Source organism: Homo sapiens, chromosome 3 (genome assembly GCF_000001405.40).
Source record: "Homo sapiens chromosome 3, GRCh38.p14 Primary Assembly".
Taxonomy (NCBI): Eukaryota; Metazoa; Chordata; class Mammalia; order Primates; family Hominidae; genus Homo; species Homo sapiens.
This window is the reverse complement of record NC_000003.12, coordinates 64,521,945-64,543,847: the sequence shown is the minus strand read 5'-3', so window position 1 is coordinate 64,543,847 and position 21,903 is coordinate 64,521,945. Positions and strand designations below refer to the sequence as shown.

At 41.0% G+C, this 21,903-nt stretch overlaps 1 protein-coding gene across 4 annotated transcripts in view, besides 1 other annotated feature; it reads left to right on the top strand.

The window, feature by feature from the left end:
* The window catches only part of ADAMTS9 (ADAM metallopeptidase with thrombospondin type 1 motif 9), a 172,347-nt gene that overhangs the window by 144,153 nt on the left and 6,291 nt on the right, over positions 1-21,903 (top strand). For all 4 annotated transcript variants that reach the window (XR_007095711.1, XR_245151.1, NM_001318781.2 and 1 more), the window contains 7 exons: positions 1,878-2,010; positions 2,228-2,322; positions 2,434-2,528; positions 2,620-2,753; positions 4,554-4,645; positions 10,578-10,682; positions 21,588-21,682. Coding sequence is in view for 2 of the 4 variants with exons in the window: in NM_001318781.2 (NP_001305710.1) it covers positions 1,878-2,010; positions 2,228-2,322; positions 2,434-2,528; positions 2,620-2,753; positions 4,554-4,645; positions 10,578-10,682; positions 21,588-21,677 (744 nt within the window). In the remaining 2 variants the exon portion in view is untranslated. The remainder of the gene's footprint in view (positions 1-1,877; positions 2,011-2,227; positions 2,323-2,433; positions 2,529-2,619; positions 2,754-4,553; positions 4,646-10,577; positions 10,683-21,587; positions 21,683-21,903) is intronic.
* Positions 1,838-3,037: an enhancer, noted in NCBI's record as "BRD4-independent group 4 enhancer chr3:64526487-64527686 (GRCh37/hg19 assembly coordinates)". NCBI's record gives its function as "activates an origin of replication core promoter dependent on BRD2, P300/CBP, MED14 and CDK7 cofactors, and independent of BRD4, by STARR-seq in HCT116 cells {active_cell/tissue: HCT116}" and the evidence as "EXISTENCE:reporter gene assay evidence [ECO:0000049][PMID:35650434]".

Genomic DNA, 21,903 nt, shown 5'->3' with positions numbered 1-21,903 from the left:
TGTCATCTGCAAAGAGGGACAATTGGACTTCCTCTTTTCCTGATTGAATACCCTTTATTTCTTTCTCCTGCCTGATTGCCCTGGCCAGAACTTCCAACACTATGTTGAATAGGAGTGGTGAGAGGGGGCATCCCTGTCTTGTGCCAATTTTCAAAGGGAATGCTTCCAGTTTTTGCCCATTCAGTATGATATTGGCTGTGGGTTTGTCATATATAGCTCTTATTATTTTGAGATATGTCCCATCAATACCTAATTTATTGAGAGTTTTTAGCATGAAGTGCTGTTGAATTTTGTTGAAGGCCTTTTCTGCATCTATTGAGATAATCATATGGTTTTTGTGTTTGGTTCTGTTCGTATGATGGATTACGTTTATTGATTTGCATATGTTGAACCAGCCTTGCATCCCAGGGATGAAGCCAACTTGATCATGGTGGATAAGCTTTTTGATGTGCTGCTGGATTCGGTTTGCCAGTATTTTATGAAGGATTTTTGCATCGATGTTCATCAGGGATATTGGTCTAAAATTCTCTTTTTTTGTTGTGTCTCTGCCAGGCTTTGGTATCAGAATGATGCTGGCCTCATAAAATGTGTTAGGGAGGATTCCCTCTTTTTCTATTGATTGGAATAGTTTCAGAAGGATATGGTACCAGCTCTTGTTTGTACCTCTGGTAGAATTCGGCTGTGAATCTGTCTGGTCCTGGACTTTTTTTGGTTGGTAGGCTATTAATTATTGCCTCAATTTCAGAGCCTGTTATTGGTCTATTCAGGGATTCAACTTCTTTCTGGTTTAATCTTGGGAGGGTGTATGTGTCCAGGAATTTATCCATTCCTTCTAGATTTTCTAGTTTATTTGCATAGAGGTGTTTATAGTGTTCTCTGATGGTAGTTTGTATTTCTGTGGGATTGGTGGTGATATTCCCTTTATCATTTTTTATTGTGTCTATTTGATTCTTCTCTCTTTTCTTCTTTATTAGTCTTGCTAGTGGTCTATCAATTTTGTTGATCTTTTCAAAAAACCGGCTCCTGGATTCATTGATTTTTTGAAGGGCTTTTTGTGTCTCTATCTCCTTCAGTTCTGCTCTGATCTTAGTTATTTCTTGCCTTCTGCTAGCTTTTGAATGTGTTTGTTCTTGCTTCTCTAGTTCTTTCAATTGTGATGTCAGGGTGTCAATTTTAGATCTTTCCTGCTTTCTCTTGTGGGCATTTAGTACTATATATTTCCCTCTACACACTGCTTTAATAAAATACAAAAATTTGTTGGGCGAGGTGGTGCGTGCCTGTAGTCCCAGATACTCGGGAGTCTGAGGCAGGAGAATCGCTTGAACCTGGGAGGCGGAGATTGCCGTGAGCTGTGATTGTGCCATTGCACTCCGGCCTAGGCAACAAGAGCAAAACTCTGTCTCAAAAAAAAAAAAAAGAAAGAAAGAAATGAAAAGTGATCAGGCAAAAGTGTATAACGACTTGGAAGCAGTTAGGGTTTGAATCCTGGCTCCACTATGACCTTGAACAAATTCCTTAAATTTGAGCCCCAATCTCCCACCTGTAAAAATAAGATAATGGTAATACTATCTCATAGGGGTACTGTGAGGCTTAAATGAAAAAATTATGTGTGTGTGTGTGTGTGTGTAAAATTACACATATAAGTGTTTTATACATATATATGTTTGTATAAATGCATGAACATGAATCTATAAAGCTTACCACAGGGACTGGCCCATAGTAAGTGCTCAGTAAATGTCAGCTTTTTGTATTCAGCGACACAGGGTCTGAAGTGACACCCTGTACATGATGACATCAGGGCTCTGAGCTCCACACCACCAGAAGCCTATGCCTCCCACATTCCATAGCCACACCGCTGACTCTCATTTGTCTTACAGTGCTCAGTGTCTTGTGGTGTTGGAGTGATGCAGAGATCTGTGCAATGTTTAACCAATGAGGACCAACCCAGCCACTTATGCCACACTGATCTGAAGCCAGAAGAACGAAAAACCTGCCGTAATGTCTATAACTGTAAGTTGGCCAACTGAAGTTATCTTTCTTTAGCATGAAGAACAGGATGTCTTTGTTCATTTGATTGCCTGCCCTTTTTAGAAATATAGAATTTTTTCTGAAGGAAATCATTCGCTTTGCTAAAAAGTTTTAGTGCGAACAATGTCATTCATTCTATAGGCAGATAATTCACATCTCGGATCATCACACCCTATTTTTTGTGATTGGTGTTTTCTAGGTGAGTTACCCCAGAATTGCAAGGAGGTAAAAAGACTTAAAGGTGCCAGTGAAGATGGTGAATATTTCCTGATGATTAGAGGAAAGCTTCTGAAGGTGAATGTCAGACACCAGTCATTATTTCAAGAATGTTTTTAGAGTGAGTGATCACCGCTCTCATTACCTCATTTCTGAGCCACTCTTCATGGGTTATTTATGGTCTTTCAGATATTCTGTGCGGGGATGCACTCTGACCACCCCAAAGAGTACGTGACACTGGTGCATGGAGACTCTGAGAATTTCTCCGAGGTTTATGGGCACAGGTAGGAGAGCCAGGCTCAGAAGATCTCAGAGGCCTGGAGATCCCTGGAAATGCTTTCCCATCCTTACCAGAACATTCTCTGTATAATTTAGGTTACACAACCCAACAGAATGTCCCTATAACGGGAGCCGGCGCGATGACTGCCAATGTCGGAAGGATTACACGGCCGCTGGGTTTTCCAGTTTTCAGAAAATCAGAATAGACCTGACCAGCATGCAGATAATCAGTAAGTTAGTGAGGAGTCCTTTGGGAACGTGTGCGTTCTTCTCTCCATTCAGACAGCAAGCATGTCTTGCACATTGGCTAGCAGGGAGGTGCGTATTGCACATTGCACATTGCACATTGGCTAGTATGGAGAGGAAGAACATTGGGAGCTTACAGTGCAGCGAGGATAGTCCTGCAGGCAGTTTTGTCTCTTTTGTTCACTGCTGTATTCCCCAGTGCCTGGAAAGTGGCTCGCACAAGGCAGGTGCTCTCTCCGATTTGTGATGAATGAACTGAATGAATGAATGAATGAATGAAGTAGGTGAAAGTGCATGAAAGAAGCACCATTGAAATGTGGGAGGTCAGGGCAGCATTCCAGAAAATATGACATTGAAATAGAGACCCTAAGGTCAAGTTAGGGTTAGCCAGGCACAGGGGTCAGTGTGGGGGAAGCAGAGCTGGTAGCAGAAGTGTTCAAGGTAGAATAAACAGCAGATACAAAACCCCAAAGCCAAGAAATTCATGGGCAACATTCACCACCCCCAGCCCAGCTTTCGCCAGCACAGTGTACATGCTTACACAGACGTAAAACTAATTTTATTCAGTCGTCAATGTGCAGAAGAAAAATGGAACACAGAATTACCTTTTCTAAACTAGCCTGTGTGTGGGCTGATTTCATACTCTCGCCAACACTGCATCTCTGTTGGGGACATTAATCATAGGAGTGGTTAAAGACAGCTAAAATACCTCAACATGTTCCCTTGCATAAAGGAAAAACAGAAATAATGAATAATTAATTTTTCCTCATTAACATTATACCCATAATATTGCATTCCTTTTCTCTTGAGATAGATTAAACGTGATTTGTACCAAGATACTTTAAATTTCCTTGAGCTAGAATGATGAGGGGTAAAGGCAGAGGGTCTGCAGTTTCTCCACTTAGGAAAACACCCCAGCTAAGACCCAAGGGTTCTACATGCTGAAGCAGGCAAGGTCCCCTTTCCTTGCAGAATGGAGCACTGGGATTTCCCTCTCACCAAAGTGTAGTGAACTGTAGGAAGATTAAGGCCATTCCTGAAAGACGAGGCAGAAAGATGAAACCTGCCTCTGGCCTCCAGTCTCCCTGGCAGACAGCTTTTGCAGGATTCTCGGGTTAACTCCTCCCTTTGCATGTGCAGAGCTCATCTCAGGAGCTACAGTAGGGGTTAACAACGTGCACTTTGGGTTAGCCTTGTATTTATTGGCTCTTTAAAAAATAAAAAATTACAGGCTAGCCCCGAACTTGAGAAACTGCTGTCAATAATTTCAAGATGGGGGTTCTAATTGCGCCACATTTTGGCAATAATACTGCCTAGGCAACAGGAGGACAGAGGAAACCTCAGGGAATCGCTCCTAAGTAGCTGGAAATGCTCTCTTCCTGGCTTATTTCCCCCTGGCCTGAAGCCTGTGATGCAGGATAACAGGAGGTTCTCAGCCAGCCAATTACGCTACATTTAAGTGAGGTGATTCACATATTTATTTATGTAGGAATCAATTCCAAAGTCATTTGAAACCCCCTTTTTGGCTTCCATACTGTGGGGAGACAGACATTCGGGGCTGATGAAGCTCGGGGAATGAAGCTCGCAGAACCACAAATATAATCAGGAAAAAGCAAGTGAGCATCTGGATCCATTTACCCACTAATATTTCACATTGCTTCTTTCTCTCCCATTCCCTCTTATTCTTCTTCTTCCCTTCTGTCTCCTTGTTAATGTCCTGTTCCTTCCTTGCCTTTCTCCCACTCTTACCTTCCCCTGCCTTTAACCCCTTCTCCACCCCACAGCCACTGACTTACAGTTTGCAAGGACAAGCGAAGGACATCCCGTCCCTTTTGCCACAGCCGGGGATTGCTACAGCGCTGCCAAGTGCCCACAGGTATGTCCTTGGTGCCTTCCCCCTTGCCAGGGATTCACCTCCCACCTTTCCCGGGAACATCCTCAGTTGCATCTGTTCCTGGGAATGTGATTAGAACAGTTGCTCTAGAGGGCAGTTTGGCCACATGTATCAAGACCCTCTCAAATGCTCTGGAGTCTAATCTCGTAATTCAGCTCCTGAAAGTGGGTCCTAAGGAAATGATCATAGCTACATGCCTAACTTCTGCATTCAACAAAACACGCCAACTTAGAAACAAATTAGATGTCGGTTAGCGAGGGCTTGGTTAAACAAATTATGGTGGTAAATAAAATGAATATTGTACAGTCAGCGGAGTGCTAGTAAATATTTAATGACTGACACTTCTAAAAAAAAAAGGTCCTGCTTTGTAACATTTGTCAATTGCCATGGTGTAAATATTCTCCCTATAATTGATTTCAAGCCGTCAACATTATGTCACTAAATGGAGGGCTAGGAAGAAGGCAGACAGTTGACTCTCAAAAGCCAGTTCAAGCACGTGCCAACACACCACTGTCAGCCTTTATGAATCTGAATATTGCATGATATAGAAAAACACTTTACATGGATTAGACAGAAAAAACAAGATGCAAAACACTACATGCAGTATGATCCCATCTGTATTTTCTTTTAATGTATAAACAGAAAAAGTCTGGAAGGACTTTTTCAAAATATTAGTTGGGTGCATTGGTAAGGTTTTTTTTTTTTTAATTTAATGTTTAACTTTGCCGGGTTTCCTAAATTTTTCAGAGTAAGCATGAAACCAATTTTTAAAAAAATAAATAAAAGTTGGACGGGGAGATCTCAAAATTTTCAAGACTTATCTGGGTTTCCTTTGGTTCCTGAATGGTAGTCAGAAATGGCTCTAGAATAGTCTTAGCAACAAAACAGCTGACCTTTCTCAAGTGCTCACTTTGTGCCAGGCACCATCCTTTTTACTGGAGACTCACAAACATTCATCCCTTGAGAAATCTGTAGCCTATTAGAGAGGATGACAGGTTAACGAATATCCATGAGATAATAATATATTCTAGAAGTCCTCCGGGACCAAGGCTTGCGGCTCTGTGGATGTCATTGACTCAACCTGTTACCCCTACTTCAGTTCTACAACGTCTGCAGTGTTCGGACCAGAAGTGCAAATTCATCATCTTCTGTTGGATGGCTTTTCAGCGGAGCCACTCAGCAGCAATCTTTCTGCCCATTCTGTGGTTCTACACTTTCTTGCCTGAGAGAGGCGTGGCAAGTTTTAGCTTGTCTTTTGAAACATTTTGTCATAATCAGCTCGGGCTAATTTTGCAAAGCAGACGTTAGTCTTTACAAGAAGCTTCTGCCCTTGGAAGGCAGGACAAACATAATGAACTCAGTGATTCTGGGCAGGAGAACTTGGCCAGTTTTCTCTTAGGTTTAAAGGAGGTCTTCACAAAGCTGTTGTTAAACTCTGTCAAGAGTTTCTTACTTTGCCTGTGAACCTTCAAAAGTCTGAAGACTGGGATTCTGTGACGCGTTCAGAATCCCAAGCCCTGTCTCCATAGGATGGATTTACCCCCAACTACAGAGAACGTCCGAAGACAAACACATCTGAACGTTGTTTTAACGAGGCGTTTTTTCGGCCTCAAGCTTTAGAAGAGCATTGCTAAACGTTTTAGAGAAGTGGAGAGGAAGCTCTCAGGAGAGAAGGAAAATAAACAAAGGACATAATGGTAAAAAGAGCCTTTCTTCCATTACCCAGGAATCAAAAACTTTTGAAGTACAGTTTTTTTTAGGGCAATTGATGGCTTCAAAAACCCCATTGGTATCTGTTGCATTTTAGTGGCTAACAGATTGGCCCTGTCCTGCCTTTTTCAAATGTCTCAGGATTTTCTTGTTTCTATATGCACATCCTTTGGGAAGCTTAAGTAAATGAAAAGTAACTTGCATTCATTTATTTTAATAATTCAGAGACAAATGAACTGATTGATTTGCTAAATCCTGACAATGAAGCAATTCCTAAATGAGAAAACCCAAAGCTTGAGAGAGGCTAATTTGTATTTTTTCCCAGCTCATTCTTCAAACCATATTGGGTACTTTAAGAATTCAATTCCTTAGACACATATTGAGCACCAGCTACACTGATGCAAGATGTGAGTTTTTCAAATCAGTTTTCCAGGAAAAGGTTTGTAGAAAGCGTGATTGTGGAGACTGCTTCGGAGTAGGTGGTTCAGCCTTTGACCTAGTGATTGCACAGAAATCAAAGCAGAATGATGTTGTGTTTGAGAATTTCTTTCTTTTACCTCATTGACCACTATTGCTTTGTGGATGTATTTATTAATAAGAGTGGATTCCCCGACAGCCCTCATCTTGAAACATAACCAGAATATTTTTTATCCTGATGACAGTAGATGTGACACTATTATTATTGATGGTATTAATAGCTAGCATTTATTATGCGTCTTTGCTTTAGTCACTGTACTCAGTATTGTCTACTCAATGTAGCATTTAAATCACCACAGTATTCTATGAAAATGCCTCCTTTTTAAAGAGGAGGAGGGTAAGGAGTAGAAATTGGGAGGATTTGCCCAAACCTACACAGCTGCCGCTCAGTAGAGTCTGGATTTGAACCTAAGTGTGTCTGAATTCATATCCATGATAGTAGACATGTCTTTTTGATTCTGTTTTCAGGCAAGATTTCTGCAACATTTGCTCCTGTACAACAGAAAACAGGATTATCCTTTGGTCTAAGCACATCTTTTGCAAACCTTTACGGACCAACTAGTAAACGTATAACTCTCAATCACTCTTCTTTAGAATAGGCAACAGAAGGTGGTATTTACAACTCATGTGCCCTTTAGACCTTGAAGATAAGGCCTTTAAGGGCAAAGATGTCCCAGAGCAGAGCCAGAAAGAACATTAGGTCTTTACTTCTCTGGTGGAACTCAACTTTCAGAGTGCTAACAATCAGCTAGGACATTTGCTGAAATGCAGATCCCTAAACTGGAAAGGGCAGAAGGAGAATGAGGAGGATGATCTCCTGTTGCATCTGGGTTCATCAACCCCTCTGGGAAGGCAGACTTAGTAGACGTATATATTGAGCATGTTCAGACACTGGACGCCCAGGTCGGCTGGGGGCATTGTCCAGAAAGAAGCTGGGTCAGCCGCCTGGACCTCCGGAAAACTTCAGTGCCAAAGCAGATCAAGTCTCCTTTCTCTTGCAGTGCAGGTGGGACAGGCAGTCTGAGTGGAAAGCAGAATGGAGGGAGAAAAGAGGGACATTCTTGGCACTAGGATGGCCTGGGCACTTTGAGTTATGTGGACCCACTCCTGGGGGCAGGAATGATAGTAAGATAAGAAAATTTTGGGGGGAGGGGGTGGCAGGTGCGGTGGGTCATGCCTGTAATCCCAGCACTTTGGGAGGCTGAGGGAGGTGGATCACTTGAGGTCAAGACCAGCCTGGCCAACATGGTGAAACTCCATCTCTACCAAAATAAAAATTAGCTGGGCGTGGTGGTGCACACCTGTAGTCCCAGCTACTCAGAAGGCTGAGGTAGGAGAATCATTTGAACCCGGGAGGCAGAGGTTGCAGTGAGCCAAAATTATGCGACTGCACTCCAGCCTAGGTGACAGAGTGAGACCTTGTCTCAAAAAAAAAAAAAAAAAAAGAAAAGAAAAGAAAAGAAAATGGCCAATGGAATAATGCAACATACAGAATCCGGTGTCTGAGGGGGCTTCAGTGCAGCTACAATCAAAAACACCTGAGCATGGCAGCCATGCCACATAAGAACCATGAACCTCTGTAGCATATTGTCATAAAAATGTCATATGTATATATATGTGAGATGGAATCTCACTCTGTTGCCCAGGCTGGAGTGCAGTGGCACAATCTGGGCTCACTGCAACCTACACTTCCTGCCTTCAAGCTATTCTCCTGCCTCAGTCTCCCGAGCATCTGGGATTACAGGCACACACCACCATGCCCAGCTAATTTTTGTATTCTTAGAAGAGATGGGGTTTCACCACGTTGGGCCAGGCTGGTCTTGAACTCTCAGCCTCAGGTGATCCACCTGCCTCAGCCTCCCAAAGTACTAGGATTACAGGTGTGAGCCACCACACTCAGCCCAAAAATATTTTTTAAATATTACCTACTGTCTGCCAGGTAATGCGTGACGTGCATTGTGCCTTCTGTCTAATCACCTCCTATTCACAGGTTAAGTCTTACTAATCCATTTTACAGATGATCTCCTTGCCTGAGGTCATGCTGAAAGTAAAGAAGGGAGCAAGATTCTAGGGTAAATCTACCCTTTGTACCAGGTTTTCAATCAGCCTCAGCACTTTTCGGGCTGGAGAATTCTCTATTGTGGGCTGTCCTGTGCATCGCAGCAGCATCCTTGGTCTCTACCCGCCAGATGCCAACAGCAGCACCATTCCCTGCCCCCCCACAGTTGTGACAAACAAAAATGTTTCCAGACATTGCCAGATTTCCCCTGGGGTCAAAATCGTGCCCTGTTGAGAACCACTGATTTAGTCCAAACTAAGTCCTCTGGTCACCTCTATCTTGTGGAATCTAGCACTCCAGAAGTGTTTATAAACTTTTGTTAGTCAATATTTATGGAACTGGCATTGAGAGACCTCTAAGCTACACTTAGTCCTGGAAATCTTAATTGAGGAGCTGGGATATAATATTTAAGTGGCTAGTCGTATGTTACAAACCATAGCTGATTCAATAAACAAAGCAATAGTAAGGCCCTGCTCTCAATAAGCTTACTGTTACATTGAAGAGATCACACGAACACTTACAAAACAATTAGAAAATGTAAGACAGATACCATCTTTTTGCATATCTACTAAGCGCCAGCCATAGCTGATTTCTTTTAGTCCTCTGTACGGTGCTCAGAGGGAAGAGAGTTTTAGTGCTTTCCATTTTACAGATGAATAAACTGAGGTTCCAAGAGGTGAGAAAAGATCTGGCCAGGATCCAATCACAGGTGAAAGAATTTTTCTTACACGCGGGTCTGATCAGCTGTGAGCTCCTCCTTGCCTCTCTTCTTGTTTATAAAAGACTGTTTTGACAAAGTGCTGGTTTGTCAGTTTCAGAGAGAAAGCAATCAGGAGTGTTCATGTGGAATATTTTTAGCTCTGAAACTGCTCATTGTGGAGTAGGAAGCCTCAAGAAGAAAGTATTTCAGATGCCTTTGCGAGTCATTTTTGAAAGAGAGAGTGAGAGAGACAATTGGAGAAAGCAGCGAGAGGGTCTTTCTGCTGCACCGTCTCTTTAGAAATCAATATTGAGGCACCAGAGGCCATGTTCTGAAAGGCACCCTCGGAGGGGAGGGGTTTGGGAGATCTCCCTTACCGGAGCCTGAAAGCCGCATCCTCCAGGCCCAGGTGGTCTTGAGCAGGCCAACCCTGCCCTCTGCTGACCGTCCTGGGGAAAGCGCCTCTTCTTTGAAGTCCCGCCCTGCTGTGCTTAGTACGCGGTGTGCTAATCGCCCCAGGGAGCTGGAAGCCCAGGAAGCTTGGCACCAAGATCTTGTTAGAAAAATTACACTGTGACATTTTGTTCCTGAAGGAATCTGATAATTGTGAGCAACATCAGGACTGCTGTGTTAGGGAGGCCGAATGGAGCAAGGACTTTGAAGTCAGGAGGATGTGAGTTGGACTCCTACCGTATCCTGGAGAAGTTAATCACTTCCGCTAAGCCTCAGTTTCCCTATCTGTAAAGAAAACCTCCTTCGTAGAGCTCTTTCGAGGATGACTAACATGATGCATGAAGAATGGCTGGCCCTGAACAAACAAAACTAAATACTATCAATAATTAGTAGCTATCACAATTAATCAACATCCTTCTCTTTTCCAAAGTACCTTTTATTGTATCACCTTTGCCTTTGCTTTTTTGAGGACATCACATGGACTGAAAATCTCTTTTGTTGGTCGTGTTTTCCAGGGTCGTTTTAGCATCAACCTTTATGGAACCGGCTTGTCTTTAACTGAATCTGCCAGATGGATATCACAAGGGAATTATGCTGTCTCTGACATCAAGAAGTCGCCGGTAAGGTTCTACAGATGGGTTGGGAGATGAATTTTTATTTCTTTCTTTCGTTCTTGTCTTTATTACTGTGGTAGTGGTGCTGAAGGAGCAAACGAATGTGCTTTCCCACTTAAGCCATTTTGTAGTGTCAGGAAGACCATTTAGGAAATAAACCTAGGGTGCAGTGTTTACACGTGATTAAAGTGTGAGAGCCTTGTTCACTTCTGGTGAATTCTTCCTCGAGAGGTGAACATATGAACCATCCAAGTAATTAGAAAAACCACCTAACCAGGGAGGTAAAAGCAGGAAGAAGCCTCTGTCGAGAGTGTGGCTCAGATATCTTTCAGTTAGCCAGCTTGCGGTTCGTTCTATGAACCGAGGGGAAATGACCTCTTCTTTTTATTTAGAAAAATTGAAATACAGATGGAGCTAGAAGACAGATAACTTATTAAGCGATATATCTGGAGAATTAGAGATACACAGGGTCTACAATAATAAGTTTTTCACCCTCTAAAATCTGGGTGGTTAAGGTGTGGTCTACGCAGTGCATCAGTGTCACCTGGGGGCCCGTTGGAAATGCAGGTTCTGGGTCCCAGACCCTAGTGAGTCAGAGTCTACAGCTGAACAGTGTCTCAGGTGGTGATGGGCACAGTACAGCTTGAGAAACACTGTGCTGTGCAGATGGTCCCTGACTTACGACGGTTCCACTTGATTTTTCAACTTCACCATGGTTCAAAAGCAGAACACGCTCGGTAGAAACCCTACTTCAGGTACCGATACAGCCGTTCTGTTTTTCACTAAGTACAGTATTCAATCAATTACACAAAATATTCAACACTTTATTATAAAATAGGCTTTGTGTTAGATGATTTTGCCCTGCTATAGGCTAATGCAAGTGTTCTGAATACATTTAAGGTAGGCTAGCCTAGGCTGTGATGTTCAGAAAGTTAGATATATTAAATGCATTCTTGACTTAATGATATTTCCAACTTGCGATGTGTTTATTGAGACATAACCCCATTGTAAACTGAGGAGCGTGTCGACTGTGTACTGTTTCTCACCGTGGGTGTATAGTAGAATCACCTGAGGAATTTTTAAATGCACCTGCCCAGGTCCTTCCCACACAGATGAGCTGAATCGGAATCTCTAAGGGTGGGGGGACCTGGCAGGAGTAGAATTTAAAGCTCCCCAAATGATTCAAATGTACAGCCAGGTCAGAAACCGCTGCCACTTACAGCCTTCCCTCTGAAGTCCTGAGAACGTGGGGCAGAAACCCGGCTCGTGGAAAAATGTCTAAGTTTACCCAGGCATGGCCCATTTCTCCCGTCCCATCTCAGCCAGGAGCCCTGCCTGGGGTTGCCTCAGAAATAGGGGAAGACAAAGAAGAGAGCTGGGAAAGTAGGGTTTTATTACAAGGCAGAACGGCCAGATAAAATACAGGACACCCAGTTAAATTAGAATTTCAAATACACAGTGAGGATCGCCTGATCCTAAGAGTTCGAGACCAGCCTGGGCAAGGTGGTGAGACCCTGGTTTTGCAAAAACTTTAAAAATTAGCTGGGCATGGTGGTGCATGCCTGTAGTCCCAGCTACTTGGAGGTTGAGGTGGGAGGATCCCTTGAGCCCAGGATGTCAAGAGGGCAGTGAGCCATGATTGCGCGACTGCACTCCAGGCTGGGCTGCAAAGTGAGACACCATCTCTTTTTTTTTTTTTTTAAGTACACAATGAACACTGTTTACAATAAGTGTACTGTTATCACTACATGGGACATAGTTATACTAAACATGTATATGTTGTTTATCTGAAATTCATACTTAACCAAGCATCCTGTATTTTTATTTTCTAAATCTGAAAACCCTATTGCAAATACTTCTACCTAATCAAAATAAGACTATAAAAAAGCAGCTCAACCTGCCTCCCTCACCTGAGAAAGAGGAGAAACGTCCAATTGGGACATTCCAGGAAAATCTGTTTCCTGATCTCTTTTTCTAGCTGCCATGATTAAGTTTGTGTCTGTGAAAAAAAGCTATCTCACTCTCTCTCTTCTCCATCTCAGCCAATCAATGTCCTCAAATCCGATTAACTAAATAGTCATATTGATTACTTGTAAATTAGTCATTAAATATTTTTCCTTGCACTGAAAGGAATAAAGATAGCTGAGAGAGAGTGCATGAGCTTTAGAATGTGCCCCGAAATTATAATGTTCTTTCCCCATTCCTTCCCTCCAAAATCTATACATTATGTTTCTTTTCTCTTGACAAATAAAAATCGTATATTTTTATCGTGTACAACATGATGTTTTGAAATACACTGTATGTTTCAGTGACCCAGAACCAAAAAATTTGCCTGTCTAGTGCCACTGCACTGCAGCCTGGGTGATAGAGTGAGGCTCTGTTAAAAAAATAAGTAAATAAATAAATAAAAATGTGATTGTAGGAAACCCATGTAGATAAACTGTAACCTAAATTATAATTTTATTCGTTAGATAGTTACTACCGTTTCAGCCAGAAACTAAAAATAATTAAAGCCAGGAGCGCCACCTTATGGAAAGAATGATCACTACACTGGCTGTTCCCCAAGACTTTTGGGAGATGCCTGGGCTGGAGGGAGCTGGGTATGACAATTGCCTGTCGGCATTTTTTTTTTTTTTTTTTTTTTTAAATCTTGGTGTTCCTTGGCAGTTCAGAGAGTGTGAGCTCAAAATTAATCTCCAGGGCCTGTCGAGTACTCCTCATGAATATCTGGGAGCTGGGACTGAGCCCTCTCTAGCCCCCGGCTGTCTGGAGAAATGCTGTCTGACTTCCCCCGTGTGGTCCAGAGAAGCATGTCCTAGCAATGCTACCTGAAAATAGGCTTCCACCGCCCAACACTTTTGGGAGAAAATGCTAGTATATTGTATTTCCTTCCTGAAGAGTCACAGTAAGCATTAGCATGTGAGGTGGGACTAAATTATACAGGAAATAAACCTGTGTGACTTTAGCCAGCATTCCACTAAAGCAGTGGTTCTCAAACTCAGGAGTGCTTCACCATCACCTGCAGGGCTTGTGAAAACACAAGCAGGTGGCCAGATGTAGTGCCTTGTGCCCATAATCCCAGCACTTGGGAAGGCTGAGGCAGGAGGATTGCTTGAGCCCAGGAATTCAAGACCAGCTTGGGCAACACAGGGAGACCCAATCTCTACAAAAAAAAAAAAAAAAAAAAAATTAAATAACTGACTGTGGTGGTGTGCACCTGTAGTCTTAGCTACTCAGGAGGCTGAGGTGAGGATGAGCCTGGGTGGTCAAGGCTGCAATGAGCCATTATTGTACCACTGTACTCCAGCCTGGGCAACAGAGTAAGACCCATCTCAAAACAAAACAAAACAAAACCCACCACATGATCAGTCTGAGGAGAGGCCAGAAATTGACATCTGTAACCATTTCCCTGGTGATGCTGATGCCCCTGATCTGGAGTCACATTTTGAGAACCACTAACCTAAATGAAGCCAAGCACAAAAACTTCTTTTCGAAGTTACAGCTTGTAATTTCCCCCAAATAACCAGGGTTCCATGAAACACACTTCAAGAATTGTGCCATATCCTGTTCCCACTCGATACCTACTACGATCTGGCCCCCGAGGGCCTGTGGCCCAGTCTTCTCTGGGATGCTCAGACCCTGGCCAGTTATAATACTCTCTTTTCCAAATAGCCCTGTTTCAGCTCTCAAATAATCATTCCTCACTTTCTTTTGCTTTTCTGCCAGGAGTTACAGAAGGGAAAAAAAAAAATGAAAACCTCAATTTTCCAAACCTCCTTGGCAATAAAATGTTTTCCCCAAGCAAAACTAAAGGAAAGCTGTATTGATTCAGGTAAAACTAGATCTCCAGTACCACTTGAAGAACAGTAACGCTGTCTCACTTCCAAGAGCAGAACTGGTCAAAATCAGTCTCAATATCAAGTTCACTGTTGACTTCCTTGTGAACAATGGAGAGCACTCTTTCTCTGGTTTTAACCTAATTATGGTTAAAATAGCTACTATTTATTGGGCAGCTTACATACATTAAATCTGTGTCTTCCTCCCAGCTGTGCTGTCACCAGGAGATTGGGATAACAAGGTGAGAATAAGGTCAAATTCTTGGGATGTTAAGTTGAGCAGGTGGTGGGATCAGCCTCTCCAACCTGCCGCAACTCAGCCCTTGGTGCCACAGTGAAAACCGTCAGTGGCTGCAGAGCCCAGAGGTGAAGCACGTGGACTCTGAAATCTGACTGCCAGAGTCTGTGCCCACTGGCTCTGCCATCTTGGGCAAGTTATTTAACTTCCAGGAAAATGGGGGTGGGGAGAGGGGGGACTCAGTTTGTTCATCTATAAAATGGGGACTGTAGTGGCCCCTTTCTCATTGACTTATTGTGAAACATAAATGAAATAAAAATGTAAAGCTGTTGGTATCCTACTGGGCAAATAGCAGGAGCACAAGTACTGGCTATTAATGTTATAACGTTTTCATAGCCCTGAGGTTTGCCATATTGTTTCGGAAGTTGGCCAAGGTGACTAAGGAAGGGAGCTGGCTTGAGATAGCTGGTGGGAAGGACATCGAACTGCAGTGTAAGCCCGGGCTTAGCCTGTCCACATGGCTGCCACCTGACCCCAGGAATAAGTCGTGTGAGACACCCCTTGGTTGGGGGTGGACTTCAGGGCAAATGTTTTAGCTGCACCAGCTCAGCTAGGGGTCGTAAAGTTTCTCCTCACTCTGCTTAGATATCTGCATGAGGGACAGACAGACAGAAAGGAGGCCATGGCCCAGAGATGAAGGCTGAAAGAAAATGTCAGAATTTCAAGCTCCTCTGCCAGCAACGCTGTATACCCTCAACTCTCCAACGTGTGGGAATGTGAAAGTTCCCTTCAGCCCCACCCAGAATTCCACCACAGCTCCCCATGCCCATTCTCAGAGCTACCCATTTTGGTCTCTTCCAGGTAGAAGATTCTGGAATAGGCCTTCAGAGACAGGCAGCATGAAAGGATGATCACGTCCTGGCTGGGTGTGAGAGGCGCTTACGGGGCTTTTTGTCTTCCTTGTGTGCCAGAGGAATTTTCAGGGTCAGGGAAGAACTAGGGCCACTGTTCTAAGAGATATGGTCTAACAGACATTCCTGGGCTAGAGCAAGGGCTGTAAATCAAAGAATTGCTTTGAAGTTAAAAAATAACGAAAGTTGTGTTACCATAGAAGAGATGGATTCAGTTCCTATCCTTCAATTCACTTGCAAACAGTGGAGTTCAGGCACCTGAAATAAACACACATGTGTACACACACACATGCTCAGTGCAGCCCACTCTCATGTTTCGACCTGGGCTGCCTCCGAACTTGCTGTCAGCTTATGAAAATCCAACTATCCACCAAGTGTAAAAATCATACCACAGACCAGTAGAGTAAAATGCTGTACATTTACATTTTAGGTAGTCTAATTTTTATTCTGTATATTCCTATAGAAATTAGACATTTATGCATATGTTCATATATACATAAGTGTCCAGGGCTATATTCAGAAAAAAAAACCCTATATGCTGTGTTTTATGGGCAATTTCAGGGACATTCAACGATAAATTTCATTGCATGTAATCTTGACCCAGGCAGATTTTAGCCCCATAATCATTATAAACATTATACCATAATCATTATAATCTCTGTTCATTACTATCTGTATGGATTTTCTTATCAAAATCCCCACCTCCACCCCCAACTCAGCTTGCTTCTACCACCAGCATCCTCTGACAACTTTAAATAAGTCTTTAAATTAGCACACTCCAGTCAAAGGTATGCTGGTCTTCCTAAATCAAAGAAGCCAATCTGCCTTCCTCATATAGATTGAAAAAAATAGAAGAATTAGTGAAAAGTATGAAATACAAACTATTCTTAATGGAACAGAGATTCATTCATTTAATTATATGTAATAGCTCAAACCAGGCTAACAAAATAATCATCGAAAAGAGATTTTTAGAAGGCCTGCTTTAATGAAGAAATAAAAATTAGTGTTTTAAGGAATGTGAGTGGGTGCTTCTAATATATTTCTTTTCTGAAATAGTCACTGTCTGCTTGACAATTGGGTTTTTGGTATTTACTTGCTCCGTGTGGCTGTTTTTATTCTTTAGGATCAATAAGTTTTAGCTCAGCCTTTATCTAAATTAAATAATGGAATCCCACTTAAGGAGATAGCAATAATGGTATAAATCCAGTATTGGCTTTATTTTTTAAATTTTATAGTTTTATAATTACCCAGACTTTTACCCATTTCCCTGAAAACAGGCTATGATGGATATTTACACATTAAAAATACCTTTATGATAATAGCAGTTAATATTCATTGAGCACATATATTAGGCCAAGTACTATGCTAAGCACATTACATGCATTATCTCCTTTACAGCAAACCCGTGATGGGGTACTATTATTATCCCTATTTTACAGATGTACCAGGAACTGAGGCGTAAAGAGGTTGTTCAAGATGTAGTACAAGCTCCAGGCAGTCTGATTCAGGTTAGCTCCTCTGCTGGGTCAGGAGAGTTTGAGTAAAGCATAAGTTTTGATGATACAGAAGACATTCTTTGTCTGCCTGTATCGTGAAGGCCCTGGCCCTATACTTAAGCCAGGTGAGAAAGTTCTTCACTGAAGACCAGTTAGTCTGGCATCAAATTCAGTTGCTGGTGGTATGGGCCAGCTCCAGAACTACCACAGGCCTCTAAAACCAAGACCAGGTGGGAGGATAGAAATAACTCTCCCAACTCAGTTCCATTCATCATCAAATGCCTACGAATTTTTAAGAATTAAGAGAAACTATTTTATCCTATTTTATTGTTAAACTGGCACTGTTTTTCTTTTTCTTTCTTTGGTATTTTTATCGATATATCATAGTTGTGCATATTTTTGGTTATACTAGTGATATTTTGATTCGTGTATACAATGTGTAATAATCAAATCACGGTAAGTGGGATACCCAACACCTCAAACATTTATCTTTTCTTTGAGGTGGGAACATTACAATTCTTCTCTTCTAGCTATTTTGAAATATACAATTATTGTTAACTATCTATAGTAAATATATTTATAATAATATATACTATATATTGTATTATTTTATTATAATATATAGTATAGCATATCACACATAAGATTATAATACATTATACTATATATTATATTATATAAATATAAAATATATAAAATATTTTTATATAAATTTTATACATAAATTTTATATAAATGTTTATTATATTATATTATATTGGTAAATATAATTTTTCTACTGTACTATTAAATACTATAACTTGGCTGGGCACGGTGGCTTACGCCTGTAATCTCAGCAGATCGGTTGAGGTCAGGAGTTCGAGACCAGTCTGGCCAACATAGTGAAACCCTGTCTCTACTAAAAATACAAAAATTAGCCAGGTATGGTAGTGCACACCTGTGGTCCCAGCTACTCAGGAGGCTGAGTCAGGAGAATCGCTTGAACCCGGGAGGTGGAGGTTGCAGTGAGCTGACATTGCGCCATTGCACTGCAGCCTGGGTGACAAGAGCAAGACTCTGTCTCAAAAAAATAAAAATAAAATAAATACTATAACTTATTTATTCTAATTATATTTTTGTATTCATCTTCCTTTTTTAAAATGAGATTATCCATTGTTTTCAAGAGGCTTTCTTAGTTCAGCTGTGTGAAGCAAATCTTCATGACTTTTGACTTAGTTCTGAGAATGTAACCCCAAAAAATCCTAAAATGTAGGCACAAATATGTTCATCATAGTGTTATTTCCAGAAGTGGAAAATATGCAATATTGTGCAGGCGCAGAGGGTGGAGGGGTGGAATTATGTGACATGGTTATTATACAAAATGGAATATGAGGCCATAATTAAAGAAGGACTTTTTCATAGCATGGTAAAGCATAAGGGGAACTGATCAGCAGGGCATTCTTAACTACACTTCCAAAAGAAGAATTCAGCTTCAGCCTTTCATTCATTCATTCATTTAACAAATGTATATTTCGTATCGTTATGAGCCACACACTGTGGTAGGTTCTGGATACTCCCAGGTTTTAACAAGGTATTGGTCTTGTCATAATGGAGCTGACATTCCAGTAGGAAGACAGATGTTAAAGAAAGAATTACCCATTTACAGGGTGCTTTGCGGCAGATAACCAGGTCAGGAAGGTTTCTCAGAAGAAATGGGCTTTGAACTGAGTTCTGAAGAATTTACCAGGCCAAAATTGAGGTGGTACAGTATGCACAGAGAGGGAGAGAGAGGAGAACTCCAATCAGAGAGAATGGCACATGCAAAGGCCTTGTAATGTATGGGACATATCAGAAGAATAACAAAAAGAAATGCATGTGTTGAGTACAGAATGGTACCAGATGAATCTGCAGAGGCAAAGACAGACTCTATGGAGCGCAGGTCTTTAGACTAGGAGTTGGCATACTTTGTCTACAAAGTGCCAGATAGTAAAGATTTTAGTCTTGAAGGGCCAAGAGGCAAAATCAATGGTATATTTGTATGTCAAGAGAGAAAACAAATTTGCACAAAATTTTTTTATTGGTCAAATTCAAAATACAATCATAATAACTGAGTATAGCTTTTTCTAATACAGATCACCTGAGGAGATGAATGGGATATTGGGGGAGGAAAATATTTCGCTTAATTAGTGTTCTCTATTATCAAAATAGATTGTAAATGTTTATCTGTTAATGCTGACGTGAAATGAGATATTATGTATTTCAATCTTTCTAAATGCCTTTCTACATGCATTGATATTGCCAAACACTGATATCTGTCCATAACCATATAATGTTAATTAAGCATATTCATGGCTTGGCAGGCAAGTAAAGAATTCTATCAGAGTTTTCTCTTGATAGTTGCCTTTTAGCATGTCACTACATTGCATATTAATCACTTGCAATTGAAAATGAGATTGAAGCTCCTCAATTGCTAGTTAAATGGATTTTGACATAAAAAGATTTCCTTTGCATTTATATCAAAGTCTGAAAAACAGTGCTGGAACTGCAGTTTAAGCTCAGAAAATATATCCACTTTAAATTTGTGTGTAATAGAGAAGACATTTCCTGTTTTAACTTTTGACAGCATGGGAAGTGTATAAAACAATCTAACGTTACTTGTGATCCAAACAGTATTATCAGTGAAATTACTTTATCACTGTATAAGTTTTGCCTATAAGAACAGTTTTGCCTTGTAATTTTAGGTACAATCCATTGAGAAACATGATCAACTCTGAAGCAAAAGCTAATATTCAGAGCCATTAAGTGTTGAATTACAGTGATTGAGAGCAGTTGTAGTTCAAAAAACTTTAATCTTGACCCTGAGCTCAAAAATCAAAATAAAACTTTACCCCACTGCTAAGCCATCAAATTGCTGTGTAGTAGGACAAGTCAAGGTATTGAGCTTTCAGTTCTGACAAAAAAATTCACAAAATGGATGATGGGTAAGTCCGTGGTAGAAAATAAAGTCCACTATTGATACTACTAGTTCTATAGCACTTGATAGGTCAAATATTTTCCACAAAGTACCTGCAAATGAATAATACAGTGAATAACCATAGGCTTTAAACATCTAACAGTTTCGCAAGCTTTGTAAATTTGTCCAGTTAAAGCTTTTTATGCTCCACACATATTTTTACTATCATCAGTTGTCAACACGTCTTAGCAGATTCCACTTCAGTTGTTCTGCAGTTCTTTCCCAACCTTTTTGAAATATTCTCACCTGTACTTGTTCCATAAACTATTCCACTATTCCACAAATTGTTCCACTATTCCACTAGTTCCACTAGACTCTTCATAGAGTCTAATTCTTTAGTCACTTCAGACTGGGCATTTTCTCCTCAAAGAAATGATAACACCTGAATAACATCAGTAATATGTGTGGACCCATTAAGAGCCAGTGAAAACCACTCAAAATAATCTGCTTTGTTTTTTTAATTGACTGTTTATGTGGTTCCCAATGCTATTAGCTTTTCAAGCAATAGTCCTTGCCAAAAGAGTAGTTAAGTTTATTTTCTCTGGACACATTTCTTCAGATGTTGCTGTTAAACAGGATTTAATGAACTCACCATTGGTAAATTGTTTTCCTTGCTTGGCTAACAAATGAGCAACTTGGAAACTTACTCATTTTCATGTTTTTTAATTTTATATTTTAAATTTTCTAAATTTTTGACCATTGTTTTTCTGTGAGTTGGGAATATTGTGATGAGTATTTAGTTTGGTGATGATATATATTGTATTCTTTTAGCACAGCTATAGTGTCATTTCATAATAATCACAATCCTTTGTCATCTAAATTTGATAACAAAATAATCCACATGCCATTGTACCTTAAAAGTGCAACATTCAAAGTCTACCTTTCTCTTCTTTTCTTGATTTGTCATAATGGTATACACTGGTAATAAGCACATAAATTGTAATGATCTAGCAATACACACATCACTCAAAACACTCTCAAATTAAAACAATGTCACTGTGATTTGTTGTGCACCGAGAAGCAGTATGAAGCTGAGACTCAGTTCTTTTTTTGCAGCATGAAAGCAGCTATAGACATCAGGTAAATTAATGAATGTGGCTGTATTCCAATAAAACTTTATTAATAGACACTGAAATTTGAATTTCATATGATTTTATGTGTCAAGAAATGTAATTTTTGGTTTACTTTTTCTCAATTATTTAAAAATATAAAAATCATCCTTAGCTTGCAAGCCATACAGAAACAGGTGGTGGGCTGGATTTGGCTCACAGGCTGAAGTTTGCCAGCCCCTGCTTTAGACCATGGTGAGTATGTTGGGCTTCACATCAGTTCAGAAGGCCTGTTTACTGTGTGTATAAGAACGTTTTCCCAAAAAGCCAGTGCAGGCCCTGAAAGCATTAACCAAGCAGGCAGGCTAACATGATGCATCTCCTTGCAGGATGGTACCCGAGTCGTAGGGAAATGCGGTGGTTACTGTGGAAAATGCACTCCATCCTCTGGTACTGGCCTGGAGGTGCGAGTTTTATAGCTAAGGTAAGTAGTCCTATGTCTGTCTGTCTGTGTATTTGTCTTTTATTTTTTTCTGTAGCCTATATGAGCAAATGTGGGAGGATCAGGCAGGGTTACAGTTAAGCATCTTGAAGCTGACCCAATACAGTTCTACCTTTTTATCTCCTGCTCCTCTGTCCTCACGTGACTGAAGCCATCAGTTCTCTGCCATTAGACATGGCTTCCCCTCTACAGAGCTGGCCTAT